This window comes from Homo sapiens, chromosome 4 (assembly GCF_000001405.40).
Source record: "Homo sapiens chromosome 4, GRCh38.p14 Primary Assembly".
Lineage (NCBI taxonomy): Eukaryota > Metazoa > Chordata > Mammalia > Primates > Hominidae > Homo > Homo sapiens.
This window is the reverse complement of record NC_000004.12, coordinates 14,163,012-14,175,246: the sequence shown is the minus strand read 5'-3', so window position 1 is coordinate 14,175,246 and position 12,235 is coordinate 14,163,012. Positions and strand designations below refer to the sequence as shown.

General features: G+C 40.9%; 1 long non-coding RNA gene across 1 annotated transcript in view, besides 4 other annotated features; it reads right to left on the bottom strand.

The window, feature by feature from the left end:
* Nucleotides 1-9,406, bottom strand: part of LOC124900670 (uncharacterized) — a 70,810-nt gene extending 61,404 nt beyond the window's left edge. Inside the window, exon 1 of the long non-coding RNA XR_007058058.1 lies at nt 8,703-9,406. This is a non-coding gene — a long non-coding RNA (uncharacterized LOC124900670). The remainder of the gene's footprint in view (nt 1-8,702) is intronic.
* Nucleotides 2,161-2,826: an enhancer, noted in NCBI's record as "H3K27ac hESC enhancer chr4:14174045-14174710 (GRCh37/hg19 assembly coordinates)". NCBI's record gives its function as "activates a minimal SCP1, AML or CMV promoter by ChIP-STARR-seq in primed H9 embryonic stem cells {active_cell/tissue: H9 hESC(primed)}" and the evidence as "EXISTENCE:reporter gene assay evidence [ECO:0000049][PMID:30033119]".
* Nucleotides 2,827-3,492: an enhancer, noted in NCBI's record as "NANOG-H3K27ac hESC enhancer chr4:14173379-14174044 (GRCh37/hg19 assembly coordinates)". NCBI's record gives its function as "activates a minimal SCP1, AML or CMV promoter by ChIP-STARR-seq in naive H9 embryonic stem cells {active_cell/tissue: H9 hESC(naive)}" and the evidence as "EXISTENCE:reporter gene assay evidence [ECO:0000049][PMID:30033119]".
* Nucleotides 4,551-5,122: an enhancer, noted in NCBI's record as "OCT4-NANOG-H3K27ac-H3K4me1 hESC enhancer chr4:14171749-14172320 (GRCh37/hg19 assembly coordinates)". NCBI's record gives its function as "activates a minimal SCP1, AML or CMV promoter by ChIP-STARR-seq in naive and primed H9 embryonic stem cells {active_cell/tissue: H9 hESC(naive and primed)}" and the evidence as "EXISTENCE:reporter gene assay evidence [ECO:0000049][PMID:30033119]".
* Nucleotides 9,517-9,566: an enhancer, noted in NCBI's record as "active region_21329". NCBI's record gives its function as "activates an Ori minimal core promoter by ATAC-STARR-seq in GM12878 lymphoblastoid cells {active_cell/tissue: GM12878}" and the evidence as "EXISTENCE:reporter gene assay evidence [ECO:0000049][PMID:35858748]".

Below are 12,235 nucleotides of genomic sequence, written 5' to 3'. Positions count from 1 at the left end.
CAAGTACCCCAACCCCTTATATCTCTGCGCTCCAATCCCTTATTTCCATGCCCCGACCTCTTATATCTCTGTGCCCCGATCCCTTATTTCCGCACCCCAGCCTCTTATATCTCGGTGCCCTGATCCCTTATTTCTGCGCCCCCAACCTCATATCTCTGTGCCTCGACCCCTTTCCCGCTTTTCTGGAGGGTAAGAACCCCCGAACAGCTTCCCTCTGTGTCTCTACTCTCCCTTTTCTTTCAACTTGGCTCCTTCACTATAGGCAACCTTCCACCCTCCATTCCTTCTTCTTCTCCCTTAGCCTGTGTTCTCAAAAACTTAAAACCTCTTCAACTCACACCTGACCTAAAACCTAAATGCCCTATTTTCTTCTGCAATGCCACTTGACCCCAATACAGACAGTAGTTCCAAATAGCCAGAAAATGGCACTTTCAATTTTTCCATCCTGCAAGATCTAAATAATTGTTGTCATAAAATAGGCAAACGGTCTGAGGTGCCTGACGTCCAGGCATTCTTTTACACATTGGTCCCTTCCTAGTCTCTGTGCCCAATGCAACTCATACCAAATCTTCCTCCTTTCCCTCCTGCCTGTCCCCTCAGTCCCAACCCCAAGCGCCGCTGAGTCTTTCTAATCTTCCTTTTCTACAGACCCATCTGACCTCTCCCCTCCTCGCCAGGCCGAGCTAGGTCCCAATTCTTCCTCAGCCTCCGCTCCTCCACCCTATAATCCTTTTATCACCTCCCCTCCTCACACCTGGTCCAGCTTACAGTTTGGTTCCACAACTAGCCCTCCCCCACCTGCCCAGCAATTTCCTCTTAAAAAGGTGGCTGGAGCTAAAGGCATAGTCAAGGTTAATACTCCTTTTTCTTTATCCAACCTCTCCCAAAACAGTTAGCATTTAGACTCTTTTACATCAAATATAAAAAACCCAGCCCAGTTCATGGATCGTTCGGCAGCAACCCTGAGACGCTTTACAGCCCTAGACCCTAAAAATTCAAAAGGCCATCTTATTCTCAATATACATTACCCAATCTGCTCCCGACATTAAATAAAACTCCAAAAATTCTAGCCCTCAAACTCCACAACAGGACTTAATTAACCTCACCTTCAAGGTGTACAATAATAGAAAAAAGTTGCAATACCTTGCCTCCACTGTGAGACAAATCCCAGCCACATCTCCAGCACACAAGAACTTCCAAAGGCCTGAACCGCAGTGGCCAGGCATTCCTCCAGAACCTCGTCCCCCAGGAGCTTGCTACAAGTACCAGAAATCTGGCCACCAGGCCAAGGAATGCCTGCAGCCCAGGATTCCTCCTAAGCTGCGTCCCATCTGTGTGGGACCCCACTGGAAATCAGACTGTCCAAATCACCTGGCAGCCACTCCCAGAGCCCCTGGGACTCTGGCCCAAGGCTCTCTGACTGACTCCTTCCCAGATCTTCTTGGCTTAGCGGCTGAAGACTGATGCTGCCCGATTGCCTCAGAAGCCCCGTAGACCATCACGGACTCCGAGCTTCGGGTAACTCTCACAGTGGAGGGTAAGTCTGTCCCCTTCTTAATCAATACTGAGGCTACTCACTCCACATTACCTTATTTTCAAGGGCCTGTTTCCCTTGCCTCCATAACTGTTGTAGGTATTGACGGCCAGGCTTCTAAACCTCTTAAAACTCCCCAACTCTGGTGCCAATTTAGACAATACTCTCTTAAGCACTCCTTTTTAATTATCCCCACCTGCCCAGTTCCCTTATTAGGCCGAGACACTTTAACTAAATTATCTGCTTCCCTGACAATTCCTGGGCTACAGCCACACCTCATTGCCACCTTTTCCCGCAGTTCAAAGCCTCCTTCACATCCTCCCTCTCGTATCCCCCCCCACCTTAACCCACAAGCATAGGATACCTCTACTCCCTCCTTGGCGACCGATCATGCACCCCTTACCATCTCATTAAAACCTAATCACCCTTACCCCACTCAACGCCAATATACCATCCCGCAGCATGCTTTAAAAAGATTAAAGCCTGCTATCACTCGCCTGCTACAGCATGGCCTTTTAAAGCCTATAAACTCTCCTTACAATTCCCCCATTTTACCTGTCCTAAAACCAGATGAGCCTTACAAGTTAGTTCAGGATCTGCCCCTTACCAACCAAATTGTTTTGCCTATCCACCCTGTGGGGCCAAACCCATATACTCTCCTATCCTCAATACCTCCCTCTACAACCCATTATTCTGTTCTAGATCTCAAACATGCTTTCTTTACTATTCCTTTGCACCTTTCCTCCCAGCCTCTCTTTGCTTTCACTTGGACTGACCCTGACACCCATCAAGCTCAGCAAATTACCTAGGCTGTACTGCTGCAAAGCTTCACAGACAGCCCCCATTACTTCAGTCAAGCCCAAATTTCTTCCTCATCTGTTACCTATCTCGGCATAATTCGCATAAAAACACACGTGCTCTCCCTGCCAATCGTGTCTGACTGATCTCTCAAACCCCAGCAACTTCTACAAAACAACTCCTTTCCTTCCCAGGCACGGTTAGCGTGGTCAGAATTCTTACACAAGAGCCAGGACCTCACCCTGTAGCCTTTCTGTCCAAACAACTTGACCTTACTGTTTTAGCCTAGCCCTCATGTCTGTGTGCAGCGGCTGCCACTGCTTTAATAATTTTAGAGGCCCTCAAAATCACAAACGATGCTCAACTCACTCTCTACAGTTCTCATAACTTCCAAAATCTATTTTCTTCCTCATACCTGACGCATATACTTTCTGCTTCCCGGCTCCTTCAGCTGTACTCACTCTTTGTTGAGTCTCCCACAGTTACTGTTGTTCCTGGCCCAGACTTCAATCCGGCCTCTCACATTATTCTGGATACCACACCTGACCCTCATGACTGCATCTCTCTGATCCACCTGACGTTCACCCCATTTCCCCACATTTCCTTCTTCCCTGTTTCTCACCCTGATCACACTTGGTTTATTGATGGCAGTTCCACCAGGCTTAATCGCCACTCACCAGCAAAGGCAGGCTATACTATAGTATCTTCCACATCTATCATTGAGGCTACCACTCTGACCCCCTCCACTACCCCTCAGCCAGCTGAACTAGTTGCCTTAACTCAAGCCCTCACTCTTGCAAAAGGACTACGCGTCAATATCTATACTGATTCTAAATATGCCTTTCATATTCTGCACCACCATGCGGTCGTATGAGCTGAAAGAGGTTTTCTCACTACAAAAGGGTCCTCCATCATTAATGCCTCTTTAATAAAAACTCTACTCAAGCCCGCTTTACTTACAAAGGAAGCTGGGGTCATTCACTGCAAGGGGCGTCAAAAGGCGTCAGATCCCATTGCTCTAGGCAACGCTTATGCTGATAAGGTGGCTAGACAAGCAGCTAGCTCTCCAACTTCTGTCCCTCACGGCCAGTTTTTCTCCTTCACATCGGTCACTCCCACCTACTCCCCTGCTGAAACTTCCACCTATCAATCTCTTCCCACACAAGGCAAATGGTTCTTAGACCAAGGAAAATATCTCCTTCCAGCCTCACAGGCCCATTCTATTCTGTCGTCATTTCATTACCTCTTCCATGTAGGTTACAAGCCACTAGCCCGTCTCTTAGAACCTCTCATTTCCTTTCCATCATGGAAATCTATCCTCAAGGAGATCACTTCTCAGTGTGCCATCTGCTATTCTACTACCCCTCAGGGATTGTTCGGGCCTCCTCCCTTTCCTACACATCAGCTCTGGGATTTGCCCCTGCCCAGGACTGGCAAATTGACTTTACTCACATGCCTCGAGTCAGAAAACTAAAATATCTCTTAGTCTGGGTAGATACTTTCACTGGATGGGTAGAGGCCTTTCCTACAGGGTCTGAGAAGGCCACCACAGTCATTTCTTCCCTTCTGTCAGACATATTTCCTCAGTTTAGCCTTTCCACCTCTATACAGTCTGATAACAGACCAGCCTTTATTAGTCAAATCAGCCAAGCAGTTTTTCAGGCTCTTAGTATTCAGTGAAACCTTTATATCTCTTACAGTCCTCAGTCTTCAGGAAAAGTAGAACAGACTAATGGTCTCTTAAAAACACACCTCACCAAGGTCAGCCACCAACTTAAAAAGGACTGGACAATACTTTTACCACTTTCCCTTCTCAGAATTCAGGCCTGTCCTCGGAATGCTACAAGGTACAGCCCATTTGAGCTCCTGTATAGATGCTCCTTTTTATTAGGCCCCAGTCTCATTCCAGACACCAGACCAACTTAGACTGTGCCCCAAAAAATTTGTCATCCCTACTATCTTCTGTCCAGTCATACTCCTATTCACCGTTCTCAACTACTCATACATGCCCTGCTCTTGTTTACACTGCCGGTTTACACTGTTTCTCCAAGCCATCACAGCTGATATCTCCTGGTGCTATCCCCAAACTGCCACTCTAAACTCTTGAAGTAAATAATCTTTGCTGGCAGGACTACGCTGAATCTCCTTAGGCACTCTCTAATCAGATGTCCTGGGTCCTCCAATTCTTAGACCTTTTATACCTGTTTTTCTCCTTCTCTTATTCCATTTTTTAGTTTTTCAATTCATACAAAACCGTATCCAGGCCATCACCAATAATTCTACACGGCAAATGTTTCTTCTAACAATCCCACAATATCACCCCTCACCACAAAATCTTCCTTCAGCTTAATCTCTCCCACTCTAGGTTCCCACGCCACCCCTAACCCCGCTCAAAGCAGCCCTGAGAAACATCGCCCATTCTCTCTCTCCATACCATCCCCCCAAAATTTTCGCCACCCCCCACACTTCAACACTATTTTGTTTTATTTTTCTTATTAATATAAGAAGGCAGGAATGTCAGGCCTCTGAGCCCAAGCCAAGCCATCGCATCCCCTGTGACTTGCACGTATATGCCCAGATGGCCTGAAGTAACTGAAGAATCACAAAAGAAGTGAAATTGCCCTGCCCCGCCTTAACTGATGACATTCCACCACAAAAGAAGTGTAAATGGCCGGTCCTTGCCTTAAGTGATGACATTACCTTGTCAAAGTCTTTTTCCTGGCTCATCCTGACTCAAAAAGCTCCCCCACTGAGCACCTTGTGACCCCCTACTCCTGCCCACCAGAGAACAAACCCCTTTTGACTGTAATTTTCCTTTACCTGCCCAAATCTTATAAAACGGCCCCACCCCTATCTCCCTTCGCTGACTGTCTTTTCGGATTCAGCCCACCTGCACCCAGGTGAAATAAACAGCTTTATTGCTCACACAAAGCCTGTTTGGTGGTCTCTTCACATGGACGCCCCTGAAACATTTATCTCATCATTTGTTACCGAGCAACAATTCAAAACAACAATGCAGTGTCTGAAAGGAATAATTCATGGGGCTTTAAAACAATGAGAGAAGAAAAAAGGAGAATACAGTACATAGAATACAAGATGTATTGTTCTGAGGCAAGTCTTGGATATCATCTATTTCTACATTAGGTGTGTCTCAAGAGTCCAAAGCTTCTTGCTAATCTGATGACTCCCCACAACATCCTGGTATTATCATTCCATTTTTTTGAAACCTGAGCAAACTGAACCACAGAAAAATTGAGTGAATTGAGAAGGTCACGTGGAAGTCAAGCCCAGAATAGAACTGATGTCTGCTGGTTTCCCATCCAGTCATGACCCTTCCCAATACACATTATTTGAAGCAGTCTGGTCAGCAGTGGCTAACGGCTTTAATATTTTTGAACCATTAATTTTTTTTTTCTGAGTAACATTCCTGGCAAGCTTGCTTATTTTCCAGGGTGAGAGATATGTCTGAAAATAAAGTTAATGGACAATGTTGATTGTCACCCTAAAAAAAATAGCCTTAAAGCAGTGAATGGATTTTAACTTAAAATGTGGATTTTTAGGTTGCATTTAAATTTATATAAATGTCATACTAATATCGTGCATCTTGAAAAATAGAAAGGTTGAATGAAAAATATTGAATATCAAGGTAAGAGTTTTTGAAAAGGTTACAAAACCTGGATTCAGAATAACAGCAAGGCCTTTGGCAATGAGCTTGAATTCTTGCCAGGAAATGTAGTTCATCTTGGCATCCTGCCCTGACCTCACAATCCTGGGCATTGGCTTATATCTCGTGCTTCAGCCAACTCATTTCCTCCAGCCGAATCGATGACTTTCTAATAGCTGAGCATCCTGCTCTGAATCACTTGCAAACCACTAAGATACACTTTCTCTGTTTATTTTCTGACTTGAGACAGAGAACAGCAAGGTCAGTTGATTCTTTCAATGATTGCTCTTAAAATAAAAACTTTCACTGCAGTCGTTTGAACTTTTGAAAACCAATGTCCAATAATACAGCCATTTCAGCAAATTCAGTTGCTCATGATTTCATAGTTTTTCTATAGCTTTATCATCTCTATCTCTATGTATATCAATACATATATTAATGCATCAGTAATTAGTTAATGGGTATGTACTTTTATGTCTGTCAACCATAGTGCCTTATGCCACATAAATACTCAATGGATGCTAAAAAAAAAAAATGCATATAAAGGTAATAAATTGTTCTTTTGCAATTAGAGAGTTATTTTCATGCCAGCTGGAATGTTCATATTAAAATCAGAATAATCATGTATTTATCATTTGATGGGAAGAAGAAAAGTTTCACTAATTGGAAAGGAGCTTGTCTGAAAGCTGTGGAAGACAACATTGAATGGGCTTGTTAGGCACAGAACATAATCTTGATGTTGTAAGAGAATACGAGCAAAAGAATGGAGAGAAAACAAGTCACCATGTGAAAGTTTTAGTGTAAAATTGCAGTAGGAAATAAATTCACTGCTCACAATCTTCTTGATAGCCAACATTTTCATAAGCTTTTCCACCGTCATCGTCAACGTCATCACCATCTTACGACTATAGGTCAAAGAAAACTAGCCAAACTGGCAATCAACAAGTCAGGAAATTGGAACATCAATGTTATTATCAGTTAGCATTAGTAGGATTTCGTAGTTGATGTGTGTTTAAGACCACTTTTACATCAACTGAGACAAGACTGCTTACCTTCTCAGGATTTTAAATATCATAAAGTATGTGGCAAATAATCTGCCTTTGGGCACTTTATTTTCAGATTTACTTAGTCATCATGTACTTTGTGTGAATGTGATGAATTCGAAGACATGAACGAAAGGCTAGATTAAACTGCTGACTAACCATGAAGAAAATGGTCAAAGTATGTAGTAAAACCAGTTTATCTCTCTATTTTAAAGCCATGTTATCTTTAACTTAGTTGCTGTTGGAAAAACAAGATGCTTTTTTCAGATGCCAGTCCCTGTAAAACAGTGACTGGAATAACCTGAGATTTTTTTTTTTTTTTTTTCAAACTCTAAATTCTGTCTCAAATGTTAGTTGCTAGTTGTGAAGGAAATCATTAAAGGCCAATTATCATTAAAACAGTCTCTGAAATTAGATATCTGATGAAGGGAGAATTGTTCTCTCTTCTCTTAAAGGCCAATGCTTGGACAGGCATTTTCTCTGGTTAGAAAATCCCATTTGTGTTCAGTTACTTTTCAATTTCTGCCTGTTTCTTAGGAAAACAGTGAAAGACAATTTCAAAAAAAAGAATCCGTGGAGAAGAGAAGGCAATAAGATTGATAAAATTGATAAGCTCTTAACATCGGGGTGAATCTATAGACTCTTGATGGCTACTGTAAAAGGAAATTCCATTTAAATTTGGGAAAGGGTATGAAGCATTTTTCTTTTACCATTTTTTTAAATGGGGCACAATTTACATATAATAAAAAGCAGATTTTATGTGCATTTTGATGAGCTTTAACAAATGCATAATAAATTTGTGCATCCAAACCCTCAAGTAACAGAATATTTTCGTCATCCTATAGAGGTCCCTTCTAGTACCTCATTCTGGTCAATTCTCTAGGGTCATGCCCTAGAGACGATTACTGCTCCAATATCTGTCGTCATAATTGTTTAATAAATAATAACAATCTGTCATCATAATTGTTTTACCTATTCTAGAACTTCATATAAATGGAATCATACAATATACAGTTCTTTGTTCCAGTTTCTTTTGACTAAACATAACCTTTTTGAGATTTGTCAATTTAGTTATGCTTATGAGTAGTATGTTACTTTTCGTTGCTAAACAGTATTCCACTGAATCAATATGCCACCCTTTTATGCCCATCAACTGTTGGTGAGCATTTAGTTTATTTTTAGCTACTGAAAATAAGACATTTTGTCTTATTTTAGTTATTTTTAGCTAAATATTCGTATACATATTTGTGAACATCTGTCTCCACTTCAAGTTTAGAATTGTTAGTCACAGATTTGCTCTGATGATCCTCTTTAGGAGAGACTTAAGTGGGGAGAAGGCTATTCTGAGCAGAAGAGCCTTTTCTTCATCGTTAGTCCATTGGTTGTCTCAGCCCAGGACTTCAAACCATTCCACCATTACCAATCTCCAACCTTAATTATGCATTGTAGGCATACCCCAAATTCTATGTTTCCTGGCATATGACAGCCAAGCAGTATAATAAAGTCAAGGTCTCTTCCTCCTTTCCATTCTCATTTGAAAAATTAGGACTTCTTTTAACATCTCAACATTTTGCAGCTGGTAAGGAGGGCCACTGTAGGCAGTGTCACTGAATAGATTAAAAAGTTGCCTGGTATTTTCAGAGTAGTTACTTCAAAAACTTACCTGGGAGTGAGCACTTTGGTAGGCATAGGTGGGCAGATGACTGGAGGTCAGGAGTTCAAGACCAGCCTGGCCAACATGGTGAAACCCCATCTCTACTAAAAAAATACAAAAATTTATCTGGGCGTCGTGGCAGGCTCCTGTGATCTCAGCTACTCGGGAGGCTGAGGCAGGAGAATTGCTTGAACTGGGGAGGTGGAGGTTGCAGTGAGCCTACAGAGATCGTGCCATTGCACTCCAGCCTGGGCAACAGGAGCACAACTCTGTCTCAAAAAAAAAAAAAAAAAAAAAAAAGAAAGAGAAAAGAAAGGAAAAAGAAAAGGAAAAAAAAAGAAAAAAACATACCTGGGAGTGATATCATCAAAATGGCAAAGTAGAAGAAATCTGATTCAACAAGGTGAGCCCAAGTAGTGGCTTACATTTTGCAGTCATGGTAAAAAAAGAATCCAGATTTCAACATTTCATATTTTAGGAAGATTCTGAGTGCCTCTCTAACTTTTCTGAGTTTTCGTAAGGGATCTATTAATAAGGCCATCCCAATGCTGTTTTGAGATCCTTGCTGAGAAAGATGTGCTGAGATGTTTGCTGTAATCCATAATAAGGCCATTCTAAAAATTTAAGGATTTTGTCTCAGTGGAGAACATTTTCCTGGGGAATGGTGGTGTGGCATAGAATCACCAGGGCGCTTCTGCTTCTGATGAGTTAGTAAGCACCGTGTCAGCTCTTCAACTCTGTTATGCACAAGTTAGGCCTGAAGCTCTCACATGCTTCTGGGAGTGCCACATCTTTGATCCCCATGAGCTCATTCTTTCTGTTCCTCTTTCTTAGATGAACTGAGGGCACCATTTAAACACCCTTAACTGTTTCATCTCCTCCTGGTTATTTTTTGTTGTTATTACTGGTCCCAATTTTAGCCACCTTCTGGACTTAGGCAAATTGCCATGCAGCTCTTTGCCTATTTTACAGATTGTAAAATAGGCATCCAGTGTAAAACAGGCATCCAGATTGTAAAATAGGCATCCAGATTGTAAAATAGGCATCCAGTGGCTTGTCATGTTGCATGATAAATTATGTAGCTTTGAGCATTACCTTTTTCTGGGTGGGGACAGCACGTTGTCTCTGTTCTGAGAAAAAATCACTAGAACAGATTTAAATTTCAGTGGAAGACAGGGGGATGCATGTATAATGAACAAGAAAGTGAACTCCCAATTCCCATTGATATGCATAGTTGATAAGGCAAGGACAAGTAAATTTGCATAGGGGCCAAGAAACCTCCTGAGATAAAAAGAACCTAGATTCTGACTCCTTTTGCTCTTAGGAGTCAATATTTGAACGTCTCTGATGAATTAGGATGGTCAGAACTGAAGGGTGCTAGCAATAAAGAACAAGTTCACCAGAGAGGAAATTATCATGGGGAAAGATGTAGTCTATGCAAGTAACCTGAAAACACCAAAGACTAAAATAGCAATGTCCAATAGAAATATTATGCAAGTCCCATATGCAATCTTGAATTTAGTAGTAATTGCATTTTAAAAAGTCAAAATCAAAAAATGAAATTAATTTTAACACTACCTTTTTTTAACCTAGTATATCCAAAATATTATCATCTCAAAAAATAACTAATATCAAATACTATTGATACACCATTTTATATTATCCTTTGTGTACTAAATCTCTCAAATCCAGTGTATGTTATATTGACAGTACATCTCAATTTGGATTAGCCATATTGCAAGTATTCTAGTCCTTAAGTGCTCACCATATTGGACAATGCAGGCCTAGATATTCACAAGGCATCTGTGTCAGAACTGTGCCATGCATTTGTATGTAATACAGAGAGCTGTAACTATGAAATGGTGAAATGTTACAGGCTATAAGTCAAGGACACAAAGGTGAGTGAAAATATTACCAGAGACCAGTAAAAGACGAACTATAGCCACATACCAGTGACCCCAAGGGGCCTTATAATTTTCCTTTTCTCTCTTCCTGTTTTATGGAAATAGAGTTGATCCCAGAATTCTTGGCAAGTTCGTGGAGAGAAAAGAAGGACTCAGGAGAGTATTTGATCTTTCGGCAAATTGAAGCAAATGAGACTTTGGCCAAGAATATGAAAAATAAGAGAAATATAATGTCGTCAGTTCTGAACACTTTTCCTATAAATTTGTTCAAATCAGTCACAACTATCTGGTTGTACATCAACCTTTCTTTCCCAATGTGCTATGAGCACCTTGAGTCAAAAAATTAGGACTAATTTTTTTTTAATAGCTCCAAAACCTTATGTAGCTCCTCAGTTGTGGTAAGTAGGGCACAGTCTTCTTCAACCTGTTCCTAGCACTTAGAAAAGGACCTGGCACAGAGTCACATGCAGTAAAAAATTGCTGAAAGATTGACCAGAGAGACCTGATCTCCCTTGTTTTCCAACTGCAGTTTCTTCCTTGAAAAATGGGCATACCTAGATGGTTCACTCTGTGCATATCTCAAGTAAGTTGCTGTGCAGATACAAGTATTATTATCTTTCGTGGGAAAAAAAGTGATAAGAATAAAAAATGTTACATTTTCATATTGCTTTTGATCATATAGAAAGGTTTTATATGCAAATCCCATTTACCTGTCCACATTTTACAGATACAGAGAGGGTAAGATACTTGATTAAAATCATGTAATGAACAAGCCATTCAACTGAAAATTAAACCAAGAATGTCCAACTCATTTTCAGTTTCCCTTTCTCAACATCACGGCCACTGCCAAATCCAGGCCCACATTTTGCTGACAATAAAATATTCTTCACAAATGCGTGTATTTTTATCATGTTGTTATCAGGAGTATCTCAGTAATCCCTGACTAAGAAAATGTCATCATTATTTGCAACTGCCTTTGATCTATCTTTACATATATTAAATATAACTATTGACCAGTCAGAAAATCCAGAGCGGTTCTACATAAAGATTTTTCATTTCCCAAGTTGTACTATGATAGTTTGTCTTCCATGATAAACTAACTTTGTTGGAAGCAGGGGAGAATTGATTTTTAAATCTGACCCAGACATGGGATGGTGTGGTTTATTGTATGAGTCTAACTGAATGCTTTCTTAGTAAGATCTCCTGTTATAAGAATAAGTAGATTTTGCACAATTTATTCATCAAGGCACGGGGGAAAATAAGGCCAGCCGCACAACTGGCTTAGAAAGCAATATAAGTGCATTTTTTTTCAGTAAACAATTGAAGAGGGAAAATAATTTCCTCCCAAGTCAATACAAAGTAGGAAAGGACAAACATTTGCTCTTGCCAAATTCAGTCTGAATTATTTATTACCTGCTACAGATCAGGGTATGCTAATAATATTGTAAGAAGCAATGAAGTTCTGACACCTTCTGAAGACATAGTTTGTAAACATCAGTAAATTATTGCACATCAGCCATTGCAAGGGTTGAGTTATGAACAGTAGTAACCATCGTTAAACTCTTGTAGGATCTGCATTTTTGGAATAATGAAATCTTAACACTTCTCAACAAGCTGTTGAGAAATATTAGTGGACTT